At 37.6% G+C, this 17,297-nt stretch overlaps 1 protein-coding gene across 6 annotated transcripts in view; it reads left to right on the top strand.

The window, feature by feature from the left end:
• MYO1D (myosin ID) overlaps positions 1-17,297 on the top strand; it is a 384,603-nt gene that overhangs the window by 113,498 nt on the left and 253,808 nt on the right. For 5 of the 6 annotated variants that reach the window (XR_001752521.3, NM_015194.3, NM_001411088.1 and 2 more), the window contains 4 exons: positions 3,000-3,145; positions 3,223-3,337; positions 7,965-8,135; positions 14,621-14,691. Coding sequence is in view for 5 of the 6 variants with exons in the window: in NM_015194.3 (NP_056009.1) it covers positions 3,000-3,145; positions 3,223-3,337; positions 7,965-8,135; positions 14,621-14,691 (503 nt within the window). In the remaining variant the exon portion in view is untranslated. Of the gene's footprint in view, positions 1-2,999; positions 3,146-3,222; positions 3,338-3,500; positions 3,816-7,964; positions 8,136-14,620; positions 14,692-17,297 lie in introns of those variants that run through there. The other variant, NM_001303280.2, reaches the window with a different exon arrangement.

The raw sequence follows: 17,297 nt of genomic DNA, 5'->3' as shown, positions 1-17,297 counted from the left end.
TAAACTTTAAATTTACTGATTTTATGGCTGCATGGTAATATTTTATTGTTACTTTTATTTCATTACTAGTATATTTGAGCATCTTATCATATTTTTGTAGAGTATTTTAACATATTCTAAGAATTGCCTGGGTATATCTTTTGTGCATTTTTCTTTGGAGCTGTTATCTTTTTATTGTCAATTTCTAAGTGTTCTTAGCATATCATAAACTTTAACCCTTTGTTATCTGTGTGGCAAGCGTTGTATTTTCTCACGTCTAACTTTCGTTGTTGTTGTTTTGCTGGTTGATTAGTTTACTGTCTATTTCATTTTTTACTCTTGTAAGTCTTAGGCTTGGTTTTTAGTTTTGGGGGAATTTGAATTTTTCCTAAGTGCAATGGAGAGCAATAGGGAGGACTTTAAGGAGGGGCAATGACATCAAGTTTGCCTTTTTTTTTTTTTGAGATGGAGTCTCGCTTTGTTGCCCAAGCTGGAGTGCAGTGGCACAATCTCAGCTCACTGCAAGCTCTGCCTTCCGGGTTCATGCCATTCTCCTGCCTCAGCCTCCCAAGTAGCTGGAACTACAGGCGACCGCCACCACGCCCAGCTAATTTTTTATATTTTTAGTAGAGACAGGGTTTCACCATGTTAGCCAGGATGGTCTCCATCTCCTGACCTTGTGATCCACCCTCCTCGGCCTCCCAAAGTGCTGGGATTAGGTGTGAGCCACCGCACCCGGCCGTTTTTTTGTCTTTTTTTTTTTTTCTTTTTTTTTTGAGACGGTGTCTCTCTGTCACCCAGGCTGGAGTGCAATGGTATGATCTCAGCTCACTGCAACCTCCACCTCCCGGGTTCAAGCAATTCTCCTGCCTCAGCCTCCTGAGTAGCTAGGATTACAGGCACCCGCCACCATGCCTGGCTAATTTTTGTATTTTTAGTAGAGATGGGGTCTCATCATGTTGGCCAGGCTGGTCTCAAACTCCTGACCTCAGGTGATCTGCCCACCTCAGCTTCCCAGAGTGTTGGGATTACAGGCATGAGCCACTGCACCTGGCAAGTTTGCATTTTTAAAATGATCACTCTGGCCTTAGTATGGAGAATGTTATGGGGGCTAGAGTAAGAATGGAAGCAAAGAGGTCAATTAAGGGGATATTTTGTTAATCCAGGAAAGAGATGAGGGCAGCTTGAATCAGAAAAGTGAAAGTACAAATGGGGAGAGGAGGATGATTTGAAATGGACTGTGTTGAGAAAATAAAATCCATAGGACCTATTATGTGGAGAATGAGAGAAGCAAGAATAATACTTTAACATGGTCTGGCTCCAGCCCACCTCTCCCACCTCATTTTATACTATACCCAGCCCCCCTTTCTTCAGCCCAGCACATTAGTCTTCTCTCAGTCCTCACAGATTATCCTGATCCCTTTCTCCTTCCAGTCACAGGGCCTGTGCACATCTGTTCCCTCTGCTTGGACTGCTCTTCTCTCCTCTCTTGCTTGGCTACCTCTTACTCATCCTTCTGGTCTCAAGTATCACTTTCCCAGAGAGGCCTTCCCTAACCTTCCTGAGCACTGCATAGATTAAATTTCCCTAAGACCCCATGTACCTCTCCTTTAGTGTGGATGTTTATCTGCGAGGTGGGGGGCAAGTGAGAGAGACAGAGAGAATAATTTTTTCCTTCACTCTATTCCCTAAGTTTCTTGGACATTGAGACTATGTTTGTGTTTGCCTAGACCTGTATCTCTAACAAACTATATATAATAAGTATTCAGCAAATATTTGTTGAATAAATCAGTGAATTTCTAAGTGGTGCTATTTATTTGTGGCTAAAAGTAGGATAGGAACAGTTGTTGGAAGAGGAAAGATCAAGAGTCCTTTGAGTTTGAGATGGCTGTGAGCCATTGAAGAGTCAGTGTCAGGTAGACAGTCAAGCTCTTGAGTCAGGAGCTCAGAGACTGTTCTCTGAGTCTGGATTTGGATAATACTTTTGGGAGTCATATTATATTTGTATTATTTAATCCTGGGTGAGATGATTTAGAAGGTGCTAGAGAGTGAAGAGAAGAGGACCAGGAAGAACTCCAACTTTTACAAGTCAGGTAGAAGAGGAGACTCTACCAAAGGTCACCAAAAAGGAACATCCAGTGAACAAAGAGTAAAATTCAGAAAGGCTATTATCCGAAATCCAGAGAGAAGAGTGTTCCAAGAAGGCAGTGAAAACCTAGGTTGAGTGATGCTGAGCGACAGAGCAAGATGTCCATATGAGGTACGAGAAGTATCTATGTAGAGGTGCTGGGAGTCTTTGATGAGCCATTTCAATGGAGTAATAGGATGTAAGTGGAGACTGGAGTGGATTGAAGAGTAAAGGGGAGGTAATGGATATGGGTGAAGAGAGTGGGTAGCTGGCAGGAGACGTTAAGGAAGGTTTTCTAACGATGTGACGTTGCAGAGCACATGTGTATCGGGATGTGAATGTGTGTTAGCGTGTGGCACCTTTGTCCATGTGTGGCTTAGTGTGTGTGTTCTTGTGCATTGGATGTGTGTTCGATTCTCAGGGAATTTCAACCCTTGATCTTTGGCTCAGATCTTCATTTAGCATTAGAAATCAATATTTATATTTTTTAGAATTCATATAGCTTTAGTGGATCATAGATATTAACTCACTAGCTCTCAACTCTTTATAGTTGATGAAATTAATAATAAAGCAATGAACTGGCTTATTCAAGGGATCAGGCAAACTATTGATATAGCCGGGCAGGGAAACATGCCTGGAGAGTGTCGTTGGAATTGGTATAATGACCGGTAATAATCTTTTAAAAATACAAGCTATTTACTTTAGTTTTGCATACATCAGGTAGTTTGGGTTTTTTTAAATGGACAGTCTACATTTTCATTTGTTCTGCTGAGGCCAGTAATGGCTATGCTAAACAGTGAGAAGGTGGACAGGAATTTAAAACTGATCACAAATCCAAACAGAGGACTCATTCCCAAATTGGCAAGCATTTATGATGCTATTTTCCTTGCAGGCAATATATGAGCGCCTTTTTTGTTGGATCGTTACTCGCATCAATGATATTATTGAGGTCAAGAACTATGACACCACAATCCATGGGAAAAACACTGTTATTGGTGTCTTGGATATCTATGGCTTTGAAATCTTTGACAACAACAGGTAAACTGGAAAAGATACTTAAAACCTTGTTGCCTGTTTTCTATTTGTTGAAACTTAATTTATTCCTTTTCTTGTAGTTTTGAACAATTCTGTATCAATTACTGCAATGAGAAACTGCAGCAGCTATTTATTCAGCTGGTTCTGAAGCAAGAACAAGAGGAATACCAGCGGGAAGGGATCCCCTGGAAACATGTGAGTGGACTCTTATGGAAAATGCCTTCATGTGTTTCTCATATTATTGATAATGTCAAATTTTATTTTAGGTATTTCTTGATCTTTTGGGGGTATTTGAAACATCTGAACCTTAGCTTTCCTTTTTGGGATATGTAAATACAATTAATTTCATCATTTTTAGGTGGGATTGCTATAATTTGATAGACTGCCTTGTTGATGCCCAGAACATCCTGAGTTAGAACCAGTAAACCTGTTTTCACTTTATGGCTGCTACCACGTGGACTTACTGGTTTATATCTGTCTGTTAGGTTTAGCATACTTTATTAAGTTATACCTTAAATTGGCTGAACTTTGCTTCAGAATCTAGTTTCTTCTTCCCTTTTTCCTCCTTTTTCTCCTCTTCTACTTTGTAGACTATATGGTATTTTATTGTCTTCAGTTAATGTTGTTTATATTCTCTGAAACCTACACATTAAAATACTTGTTTTACTTTGCATTTTCTTGTGTATTACACTTCAATTATCACCTCTACTCTAATCAATCTTTGGGAACTTTTGTATTTGTCAGAGGCAAACTAATCTGGTAAGATATAGCTGGAAAGTATAATGGGTGCACAGTGCAAACCACAGAGATCAAAGCTAAAAGGCATGACTTGTTTGGTTTTTAAATTTCCTGTGATAAGACCTTCTGTTTATGATAGAAATGAGACATAGTAATTTTTCTTGTAAGTTTGTATTTTTAAGCAATTTTGAGAATAAACTTGAAAAATACAAAAACTTTTAAGTTTCTGTAGTTTGAGTTTATATGATTGTTCATCCTCTTGCCAGAGAATAGAAATGAAGCCAGTATTTGTTTTTTGTTATCCAATATAATAGCAGCAAAAAAATATTTGAAATACTATATTTAAATGACTTTTATCTTCCTTCCTACCTATTTTCTATTTCCTCTCATTCTGAAATAAAGAGACAGTGATATAACAAATAGCTTTCCCGCCTCAAAATTGTATCTGCCTTCCATCATGTGTTAAACGTTAGAATACCATAAAACAGTTGCTCAGGTATATTGGCATAAATTTTACCTATCTGCATATAAACCAAAGGGCTATTTTATATAAGAATTATCTATAGTTTGACTTAAATAATGAACTCTCCTAATACAATTAAAATTTAATTCAGTTCAATTAAGTGTATATGAAGCTTTCTAAGAATGAAACTGTTGTATAATATAATACACGGTATAACTGAAGCTTGGATTTTTAATACCAAATTTAATCATAAAACTTGTTATTCAAATGTGATTCCAAGGTACTAGTCAAAAATATCCTTTCACAATCAGAATATCAAATTTCACAGACATAATTGACAACAGGGTAAGTAATGCAGTGGACTGTTCCAAACATCTCAAAAAGAATTAAGAATCCCAAAATGCAAAAAATTTTCGCTAAATAAACCAAGAACTATTTGTCCTAGAGGGAGCAGAAGGCTAACTCCAAGGTAACAGTTACTTACTACATGGCAGATCCCCCCACAATTAGAATCTCTATTCTGGGTAAAACCCCAAACTTCTAAACATAGTGATTCTTTTTAAAAGATTTTTTATTATGGAAAATTTTAAACACACATTAAGAAGACAGACTATAGTACAGTAAACCCTATATACCCATCACCTGGCTTTAACACGTACCAGTTGATTGCCAGTCTTATGCCATCTGTACTATACCCACCTACTCCCAGATTATTTTGAAGCAAATTTCAGATATCACATTATTTCATCTATTCAATTGGGTATCTATTCAGTAAATATTTCCATGTATTTCTCTAAGAGAGTTTTACAAAAACCATAATCACAATGCCATTATCATACCTAAAACATTAACAAAAATTCCTTAATATCATAAAATATCCAGTCAGTATACATGTTTCATATTTCCTTAATTGTCTTCTGGTTGTTGTTTTGCAGGTTAAATTTGGATCCAAATAAGTTTCTTACATTATGATTGATTGATAGGTCTCTTGCATATCTATAGATTTTCTCCATGTTTCTTTTTTTCCTTGAATGATCTCTCTTTGCAATCTTGTGTTGAAGAGAATGAGTCATTTGTTATGGAGTTCCCCACAGTCTGGATTTTGCTAATTGCATTCCTCAGGTGCCATTTAATATGTTTCTCTGTTTCTTGTATGTCCTGTATATTGGTTGTTAGATCTAGAGTCTTGACTGGATTCAGAGTCAGTTTTTTTCCACAGCCCATTTCATAGACTGTGTGTGAACTTCCACCAGGAGGTTCATAATGTCTGGTTATCTGGTACATTCACTTTTAAAAGCTTTCGATGCTGTAGTTTGCAAATCATTTTAACTATTGAGAACTTGATACTCAAGCACAAAGCTGTTTTATCTGGAGTGGGTATGAAAGGCCAGAGCCCCATGTCCCTAAGCTACCCCATCACAAGTCTTCTGGCTCCTGGTATCCCTTAGGAAACCTTACGGGAATGCCAAGTTGCTGGAAGAACTTAGTTTGAAAACTACTGGTTTAAGCAATGTTTGAAGCAGTATTAAACTTACAAACTGAAAGTTACTAGCAGAGACCAATAGCTTTTAATAATATAATTGGGATTTTAGGGAAGGTAATTCTTTAGTCCCTGGGACAAAAGACTTCGTCTTTAATTTCACAGTCCCGAAGTCTAAGATGTCAACTATTAATATAGAGCTCCTGCTTTTTGAGTATTTTTAGGATTTTTTTTCCAAAGATGGAAATAACTTTTCTCCCTAATTAGAAATGTAATAAATGCCCATAATGAAAGTAAATATTTAGACCTACACTGCTTCACCTCAGTACTACTGAGATTTTGTGCCAGATAGTTCTTTGTTGTGGAGGCTGTTCTATGCATTGTAGGATGTTTAGCAGCACCCCTGGCCTCTACCCACCAAATGACAGTAGCACCCCTACCCCATTTTGACTAGAAATGTCTCCTGATATTGCCAAATGTCCCCTGGTGAGCAAAATTCCCCCTATTCCCCTATTTGAGAAACTTTAGTTTAGACAGATCAGAAAAGTATAAAAAACAAAGTAAAAACTACCCAGTTTACAGGTTTCAGTCCATAAGATACAGAAGAGAACATGCAAGACTAGAAATGGAGCTAAAAGCCATGTACAAATAACTGGCATAAAACCTTGGATTTTAAAGCATGAAATGGGAATACATGAGTCACTTGAATGGTCTATTATGAGTATATAGACCTTATAGAAGGTAATGGAGACAGCAATCAGTTTAGGTAACTCCTGCGTAAGATGGGACATAGCAAGATTAAACTGTGTGATCATAAGCTGCCCCTCTTTGAGATGTGCAGCTTGCCTGAGTTGGCCTTTCTTTGTGTGCCTTCTGTGTGTAGTGATAGGTACATTGCAGGCTGTCAGAATAAACAGGTGTGGCAGAGGATTGTTGGACAAACCTTGTACATGTATAGTTGCTGAAAAGCCAGAAGTTATTTATAACTTCATTCACCTTGTGGAAGTAAAGGAAAAGCTTTTTCTTATCTTTTATAGATATTTATTTCTCAGAATTAAATTCTTTATATTATGCCTAGAAAAATGTAAAAATTCTACTGAATTTTTTCAAATTGTTCAAAATTCTATTGAAGCTTTTTAACTTTGGGGAAACCAAAAGAAATGCTCTTTTGGATTTTAGTCATTCAGGGTCATGTAACTAAAAATGCAAGTTCTTTTTTTTTTTTTTCCGTTTTAAGTGGAGTTTATTTAACACTAAGAGATAAAGGGTTGTTAACAAACACAATGACAAATGGACATCTGATTGGGATGAGGCATTATCCTGTACACATAATGTTGATATTTTTGTGTACCCTCAGTGCATGGCATTTACACATAGAGCCACTACTGCACAGCACAAGAGTATCTGAAGAGGCTGAATCAGAGTAAGGCTGTTTAAAAGACTGAAATTTTTTAGTATATATATTCTGCATGAAAACAGAACTTTTGAACTGGCAGGTAGAAGGCAACTCTGCCAAACACTACAGTTAAAGCCCCCACTTTAGTGCACAGTTCCACCCCTTCCATCTGCATGCGTGACACATTAACAGTATTTAAAGGTAAACGAGGCACTTTGTGGCAACTGCAGCCATCGTTATGAACATATTGCACAAAATTTCTAGAACTAAACATTTAACTTGTACCCTACTTTTATAAAATTGCAAGTTTTGTGTAGTACCTTAACTTTATTATGAAGTAGTATATCAGATAATACTTTAAGGTTATTTGTTGGCCCTTTGTGGAAGGTGGACCTTACAGTTAATGGCAGGCAGATTGGTATGAAGGAGTAGGGTTGGGTGTGGGATCTGGAGGCAGGATTAAAATGAGTTTGTAATGGGAGAAATGGTGTCTACCTTATTATCTTTGCCTTGGGCTGTACTAATCTCAGACGGTGTATTTCATGATAGAAAGTTAACAAAGAAATTTAAAAATAAACCTCTGTTAGAATGTGTACTCTTTTTAGCGTAAGACCTCTTTAATGTTATTCACACATTTGACACCAAAGTAGTTTTACCTGAACTCCTGATACAAATGGGAGCATCAGGGTTTAACCTGGCCTGGTCACTGTTCTCTTCAGAATTCCCTCCTTGCTGTGTCCTACAGATTGACTACTTCAACAATCAGATCATTGTTGACCTCGTGGAGCAACAGCACAAAGGGATCATTGCAATCCTTGATGATGCTTGCATGAATGTCGGCAAAGTCACCGATGAAATGTTTCTTGAAGCACTTAACAGTAAATTGGGCAAACACGCCCATTTTTCCAGCCGAAAGGTAATGTGTTTAATGACACCTTCTTCCTTTTATCTGTGAGGTTCTCCTTATTGTTTGATGGAGTTCAACGACTTTATATGTTGGGATAAAAGAATGTCCCCTTTAATAAGAAAGAAAAGTCATAAACATTCATTAAATGATTTGTTGCTGTGGATAAATTCTGCCTCTCTGGTTTATAGTATGAAGAAATTGATAAAATCATGTTAATCCAGGAGAGGGAGCTCCAGACTATGCAATTTGGTAGAAACAGGAAAAATGAGCATGATTCTTTAGAAAGCATGATGTCATTTGTAACCAATAGATGTAGAGTCCTTGCTCATGTGCTAGAATTTTACTCCTGCATCTGATAATTCTGGCATGGAAAATAGCTTTTGTCCTTGACTTTTTACTGTAATCCTCAGTAACAAAATGTGTTGTGCACTCTGCTGTACTTCTTCAGATCATATGACTTCCTTGAAAACAGAGAGATTCTAGTTGTAATTCTAGTTATTACAGAGAAACTTATTCATTAAATAAATGGGTATCCTTTTAACTCTCCATTTTTCAGGATCTAAAAAAGTGATAAACAGATCACATATCTGTAGTAATTGGTGACAATTGTGCTTATCAGACCTTTGTGCTGATATGGACATATCATTTGCATGGAATATTCCATTTGCATGGAATATGTTTGCTATTAATATTTGTTCAAGAAATTTGTGTTAGAAGAGGAACACATCATCATCGCCCCTGAGACTTCCCTACCCATAGTCTTGTCTAGTAACCATATGCTAAAGGGAAAACAGGCCCTTGCTCCTTCACATCCATAGAAAAAGGGGGCAAACATTTCTGCCTCTCCAGAGTTCCATGTAAATCTCTGACACTGCCATTTTTTAGTGTGAATAAAGTCTATTTTCTAACTTATCTCCTTTGAAATTATGTAATCAGAACAGAGAAATTCCACAATTAACTAGCTAAAGCCCAAATCGTCAAGAAATAGATTACTAGCTGACATTTATTTTAGGCCAGTTTTTTCTAAAATATTCTCCTTGGTCTGTTACTGAGGATTGATAGTAACCCTACTACAAATTGGCTTTCAGATACTACAGTCTGCTCTTTCATGTTAGGGTTTTGGGTTAGAGGTACTGCTTCAGTCATTCCCTATTTACACCACAAATACCTAATAAGTGCTTCTCATCTTCCAGGTGCAATCCTAGGTGCTGGGGACAGAGTACTGGGCAAAGTTAGAAGTCACCTAAATAATTTAGAGTGATGCTTTTAAAGATGGCATGATTACATGGGCAAATGTCCTATCTTTGAGGGAAAGTTTATAAATGCCCTTTATAATCACAGTTCAGGTTTGGAGACTCACTTAGCACGGTGCCTACCAGATGGTAGACATTTAATCAGTGTTTGTAAAGTTGAATTGAATTGTTCCCAATCATGTCAAATAAATCTTATTTAAATTTTCATTTAAATTAGCTATGAGTCTCACATGAGAAATCAAATCCACCTCATTTTGATATCTTCTACCTTGGCCATTTATATACCTGAATTAAATGTGTCAACCAAATATTTTGAAATATAATATCATTCCTTTTTTTTTTTTTTCTTTTGAGATGGAGTCTCACTCTGTTGCCCAGGCTAGAGTGCATGGTGCAATCTTGGCTCACTGCAACCTCCGCCTCCCGAGTTCAAGCAATTCTCCTGCCTCAGCCTCCCAAGTAGCTGGGATTACAGGCACCTGCCATCATGCCCAGCTAATTTTTGTGTTTTTGTAGAGACGGAGTTTCACCATGTTGGCCAGGATGGTCTTGAACTCCTGACCTCAGTTCATCTGCCCACATGGGTCTCCACAAGTGCTGGGATTACAGGCATGAGCCACCACGCCCAGCCATGTCATTTGTAAGAGTAACTGTACATACCACATCAGTATTTGCTACTGATTTGACATGAAATGCTAAATAGTAATTTGTCTGTGGAGAGGATTTTCTTTTTCTTTTTCAAATTTATGGGAGCCCAGGTTTCCCAACTTTCAGACCAAGTGGCTCTTTCTTTTGGTATCCCTAAGACAAGTGCTGAGGTAGTGATTATTTATTTGTTTATTTATTTATTTTTATTATTTTAGATCTGGGAGGTGTACATGTTCAGGTTTGTTACGTGGATATATTGCATAAAGGTAAACTTTGGGCCTCTAGCTTACCTATCACCCAGATAGTGAACATTGTACCCAATATGTAATTTTTCAACTCTCACCCCCTGCTTTTGGAGTCCCCAGTGTCTTATTTCCATCTTTGTGTTCATGCATATGCATTGTTTAGCTACCACTTACAAGCGAAAATGTACATTATTTCACCTAGTATAATGGCCTCCAGCTCTACCCCTGTTGCTGCAAAGGACATGGTTTCATTCTTTTTTATGGCTGCATAGTATTCCATTATATATATGTATATCACATTTTCTTTCTATCCAATCATTTGTCGATAGACACTTAGATTGATTGTTTCCATGACTTTGCTATTGTGAATAATGTTATGGTAAACATACGAGTACAAATATCTTTTCGTTATACCTGGTAGTGGAATTGCTAGATCAAATGGTAGTTCTATTTTTAGAACTACCATTTAAAAGAAATGTTTACATTCTTTGAGAAGTCTCCATACTGTTTCCCATAGAAGTTGTATTAATTTACATTCCCACCAACAATGTATAAGCATTTCCTTTTCTCCACATCCATGCCATCTGTTTTTGACATTTTTAGTAATAGCCATTCTGACTGGTATAAGACGATATCTTATTGTGGTTTCAATTTATATTTCTCTGATGATTAGTGATGTTGAACATTTTTTCAAATGTTTGTTGGCTGTTTGTATTTCTTCTTTTGAAAAATACCTGTTCATGTTCTTTGCCTACTTTTTAATGGGGTTATGTGATTTTTTTGTTATTTAGTTATTTGAGTTCCTTGTAGATTCTGAATATTAGTTCTTTGTTGGAGGCATAATTTACAGATATTTTCTCTGATTGTGTAGGTTGTTTGTTTACTCTGTTGGTTATTTCTTTTGCTGGGCAGAACCTTTTTAGTTTAATTAAGTCTCATTTGTTTTTGTCACATTTGTTTTTGAGGTCTTGGTCATAAATTCTTTGCCTAGGCCAATGTCCAGAAGAGTTTTTCCTAGGTTTTCTTCTAGGATTTTTATAGCTTCAGGTTTTATATTTAAGTCTTGAATTCATCTTAAGTTAGTTTTTGGGTATGGTGAGAGACAGGGGTCCAATTTCATTCTGCTGTATATGGCTAGCTATTTTTCCCAGTACCACTTAGTGAATAGCGTATGCTTTCTCCATTGTTTATTTTTGTCAACTTTGTCAAAGATCAGTTGATTGTAGGTATACAGCTTTATTTCTGGGCTCTCTGTTGTGTCCCATTGATCTATATGTCTATTTTTGTAACAGTGCCATGCTGTCTTGGTTACAATAGCCTTGTAGTATAATTTTGAAGACAGGGTAATGTGATGCCTCTGGTTTTGTTCTTTTTGCTTAGAATTGCTTTGGCTATTTGGGCTGTTTTTTGGTTCTATATGAACTTTAGGATTGTTTTTCTAATTCTGTGAAAAATGACATTGGTAATTTGATAGGAAATGCATTGAATTTTTAGATTGCTTTGGTCAGTATGGGCATTTTAATGACATTAATTCTTCCAATCCATGAGCATTGTATGTTTTTTCATTTTTTTGTGTCATCTATGACTTCTTTTGTCAGTGTTTTGTAGTTCTCCTTGTAGAGATCTTTCACTTCCCTGTTTAAATATATTCCTAGGGTTTTCTTTTGTGTGAGTGTTTGTGGATATTGTAAATGGGATTGAGTTCTTGATTTGGTTCTTAGCTTCAGTGTTATCAGTCGTGTATAGAAATGCTTATTTATTTTTGTACATTGATTTTATATCCTGAAACTTTACTGAAGTTGCTTATCAAGTCTAGGAGTCTTTTGGAAGTCTTTAGGGTTTTCTAGGTATTAGATCATGTTATCAGTGAACAGGAATTATTTGACTTCTGTTTTCCAGTTTGAATACCTTTTATTTCTTTGAGATAGAGATTTTTTAAATGTCTTCTTCTTTGGGATTTTTACCTAATGAAGAAAAGAAATGATCAAACTATCAAAATATTTTAATCACTGTGAACTGTTTATTACACATGCTATTCTGTGTGTTGAGCTGGATATCATCATTTGCTACGGGTTACTGATTAGCTAGACTTATTGGCATGTTAAATTAGAGGTTTCTGTCTTGTGACAGTTATTTCATTTAGGGACTACATTGCTTCTTCCGTATTAAAGTTACCATGGAGAGACAGGCAAATAATCCAATAAAGCATAAAATTATTATTTAAATTATTAATATAAAAAGTTAAATGATAAATACATAACTGCTATTACCAAAAAAAATAAAGAAAAATCTAAAACCTCCTGTGTTCAGATCAGTTGCAACTTTGCAGTATCCAAATGTAAGAATGTTCCATTAGTGTAGACATCTCTTGGGTCCTTTTCCTTAAGGGGTTTTATAAATAAAACAGTTTGTAAAAGGGGTTAATAAGAGAGAGAGCAGAAAAGGGGAACTAAGTATTTTGGAGACCTCTCTGTATGGTAGATGCTTTGTTCTCAATAGTTCATTTAATCCTCAGAACAACTCTCTGAGATAAGTAATTATTAAAGAAGTCAGAGTGAGTAGATGGTAGAGGCAAGATTTGAACCGTGGAGGTCTGACTCTAATTTCCTGTAATTATTCACTTGTCAAATTAATAGAATACACCTTTCAGGTTGAGATTATTTGTTATCGAACATTAGAACCTAAGTGGTTTTTGTATATTTCCCTAGGAAAATTTATTTATTTATTTATTTATTTATTGAGACAGAGTCTTGCTCTTGTCGCCCAGGCTGGAGTGCAGTGGCATGATCTCGGCTCACTACAAGCTCTGCCTCCCAGGTTCATGCTATTCTCCCGCCTCAGCCTCCCGAGTAGCTGGGACTACAGGCGTCTGCCACCACGCCCGGCTAATTTTTTGTATTTTTTTCATAGAGACAGGGTTTCACTGTGTTAGCCAGGATGGTCTCAATCTCCTGACCTCGGAATCCGCCCGCCTCAGCTTCCCAAAGTGCTGGGATTACAGACGTGAGCCACCACGCCTGGCCTCCCCAGGGAAACTTTTGTGGACTCTCCTAGATGTCTGCTTAAGAAACTATAAGATTCCAAGTGATTCTTAACAGGGCAGACAAAGAAGTCTAGATGCTACTGTAACAAGGAAGATTGTAGAAAGTCATAGAGACCTCCACAGCCATATAAAAACTGCCTTCCCATAAACTATTCCTCTTCAGGGAGAAAAGGAGCTGCAGAAGCTTTATCTTCTGTGAAATGATAGTCCTGAACTGGAGTCTCAGCTTAGCAGACAGATGAGCCAGGCCTCCATGTACATAAGAGAGCACAGATGTTACATTCGATTCCAGGAGTCCTTTCCAGGGGTACCACTTACTAGCTATGTGATCTTGGGCCAATTGCTTAACCTCTTTGAACCTCAGTTTCCATGTGTGTAACAGAGAGATTGTTGTACCTTATATGTCAGCATTGAAGACTGAATAAGATGTGTATGCCTAACAACTAGTAAGCCTTCAGTATGGTCCTCCTTAAGTCCTCCTTCAGTATGGTCCTCCTTAAGGAGGAGAAAGAAACTCTATCAGTCAGGGTAGGCTGGACTGCATGAAGATAGTAGCTAAATTTTGTTTGGTTTGGTTTGGTTTTTGAGACAGGGTCTCGCTGTATTGCCCAGGCTGGAGTACAGTGGCCCAATCTTGGCTCACTGCAGTCTCTGCCTTCCATGGTCAGGTGATTCTCCCATCTCAGCCTCCCGACTAGGTGGGACTACAGATGCATACCACCACGCCTAATTTTTGTATTTTTAGTAGAGACGGGGTTTCACCATGTTGCCCAGGCTGGTCTTGAACTACTGGTCTCAAGCAATCTGCCTGCCTCAGCCTCCCAAAGTGCTGGGATTACAGGCCTGAGCCACCATGCCTAGCCTGTAGCCAAGATTAAAGTGTCATAAGATAGTAGAAGTCTGTGTCTCTCTCAGGGACCCAAACTTCCTCTATCTTCTGACTATTCCATGCCTTAGGGACTACCCTCTGCATCCAACTAGTTGGGGGAGAGAAGAAAGCACAGAGGGGAATCATTCACTTTTCACCAGTTTGGGCCTAGAACAGCCACACTTTACCTCCATTGTCCAGAACTTGGTTACTTGGCCATATCCAGCTGTAAGAGTGGTCAGGAAATGTAGTCTAGCTGTGTGGATTTCTAGTGAAAGTTTAGTCTTTATAATACATAAGCCATATTTTTAAATCAAGCCCCACACAATGTGATGTCATAATTTGTGATATTATCATCATTTCATATTAAGCTGGAATATATTTTTAGGAAAGCAAAAATGTCTGTTTTCAAAATAATATCCTTCTTGATTCCTTAGCTCTGTGCCTCAGACAAAATTCTGGAGTTTGATCGAGATTTTCGAATTCGACATTATGCAGGCGATGTAGTGTGAGTATCTTACCTTGGTACCTACCATGATTTGCATGCCGCCTCACTTTAGAAAATACAACCAGGAAAAATGTAAATTGGTTTTATATTCATTTGCATGTTTTGGTCATTTGATATGTCAATATATTTTAATTTGTTCAACTTAAAAATGGCATAGCTTCATTCATTCCTTGCTTTTCAACCATTTATTGAGCACACACTACTTGCCCATGTACATTTCGTACAGTTCCTGGCATAGTTCGTGTTCAGTAAGAATCAGCTGGCGGGTCAATAAATCATGGAAGTATATTAAGAACTGGGATAGAAAGATGGATAAGATGGTCTTTGCCCTAAAGAACCAACAGTTTAGTGAAGAGTATAGGCATGTACGTCCATCAAAGGTCACTATAATGAAGAATGGAAACAGTTAAACTAGAGAAGCACAGGCATTATAGGAGCAGTGGGTAGGAATAATTAACCCACTGAGAGGGGTATAGAGAGGTCTTGCTGGAGGAAGTGGTATCCAAATTGAGTCCTAAAAGTAAAAGAGGGTTAGTCAGGGGAATGAATTAGGAAGAGGGGAGAGAAAAGAGAAAGCTTTCCAAGTAGAAGAAACAGTAGGCATAAAAAGGCCCCTAGGTGAGAATAACTCCTGTACATGAAGATCTGCAAATAGTTGGGTAACTGCATAAGCAAAAACCATTTTTGCTACATTATTTTCCAAATATTATTTTAAAAAGTAAAACTCTTACTAGCCGTATTTTTATTAACAATACAATAAAGTAGAAATTGATCAGAAAGTATAACTAAAAATTATAACTACCTTAGTACATTAGGTTCCAAGGGCTGCTGTAACAAATTAACCACAATCGGTGGCTTAAGTCAACAAAAACTTATTCTTTCACAGTTCTGGAGTTCAAAAGTTCAAAATCAAGATGTCAGCAGGGCCACACTCTCTCTGGAGGTTCCTGTAGAGAGGAGTCTGTTCCTTTTTCCAGCTTCTAGTAGCACTGGACATTCCTTGGCTTGTAGCTGCATCACTCCAGTCACATTGCCCTCCTCTTTGTGTGTCTGTGTTAACTGTCCCTTTGTGTCTATCTTTTTTTTTTTCCTTTTTTTTGAGATGGAGTCTCGCTCTGTCACCCAGGCTGGAGTCCAGTGGTGCGATCTCAGCTCACTGCAACCTCCGCCTCCCAGGCCTAAGCAAGTCTCCTGTCTCAGCCTCCTGAGTAGCTGGGATTACAGGCGCATACCACCACGCCTGGCTAATTTTTGTATTTTTAGTGGAGACGGGGTTTCACCATGTTGGCCAGGCTGGTTTCGAACTCCTGACCTCAATTGATCTGCCCGCCTTGGCCTCCCAAAGTGCTAGGATTACAGTCATGAGCCACCGAGCCTGGCCGCTCTGCCTCTATTTTAAAGTGACATTTGATATGGTATGTAGAGCCCATCTGAATAATGTAGGATGAGCTTCTCCTCTCAAGATCATTAATCACATATTTTATGATATAAGGCAACATTCCCAGGTTCCAGGGAATTTGATATGAAACTTTTGTTGGGGCTGCATTTCTTAGCCTACTATATTTATTATGCCTTTACTGTCCACTGAACACTGCTCCTCATCTTATTGTTTAAAGAACTCTTTTTCTTAGTTTTTACATTAGGAATTCTTTACATGTAATCCATTGCAGGAAGAGATTAAACAAAAAAAGGTAAATGATCTTCTCTATAAATGCTGAAATGATGTTTGAAGAAATTTTAATAGCTGTTCCTGATTTAAATCAAAATTCTAGGACCATAAAATAATATGGCTCAAAATTATCACACCATCTGTCAAACTAACCATTAGTGATGGAATGGCACCATTTTCCACTTTTTCTGGTCCTGTTCCCAGGTTCCATAATACTGAAGAGGGAAGATCCAGTACTATACAAATATCTCCCACTAAAAATCCAAGCCTCACTTACAGGGTACTTTCATACCACTCAGAATGACGCAAATGCAGAGCTGGATAGAGGCCTTAGAGATGACCTAGACCAGCCACTTCATTTTACAGATGAAGAAACTTATGCAGAATGAGTAAAGTTCTTACGCAATGCCACATAGCAAATTTACAGAAGAACTGAGACAATACCTAGGTTTCTAGACTCTTAGTCTAGAACTTCAACTAACCCTTTTGAGGGATATTCAATGCCTCAGACTTCCTCTTCACTTCTTAAACTCTTCAATCCTTTTCTGGATTTTTACTGAGTATCTTCTATGTGCTCAGTACTTCATAAGGTATGGTCTCTTCCCACAAAGAGCTGGCTGCCATGTAAGATACATACGTATATACATATATGTATGGTTGTATGTGTTCTTATTTTTACACATGAAAACACGCATATATACACATAAACATTTATATACATGTATACAATAACAGTGGTCTAAAATAATTGCCATATGAGTAATAGCAATTACTCATTTGGAATTTAGAGTAAGGAAATACTTCCAGGTTTGTGTGATAAACCCAGGAAGGCTGATGCTGGTCTTTGAATGCTAGGAATTATTCTTATAGGAAGAAGTGGGAAGGGTGCTACAAAATATTCAGGAAATAGCAACTAGGTCCATCTGATTGGAGTGTA

The sequence above is a fragment of the Homo sapiens genome, chromosome 17, assembly GCF_000001405.40.
Source record: "Homo sapiens chromosome 17, GRCh38.p14 Primary Assembly".
NCBI lineage: Eukaryota > Metazoa > Chordata > Mammalia > Primates > Hominidae > Homo > Homo sapiens.
This window is presented reverse-complemented; position numbering and strand designations above follow the sequence as displayed.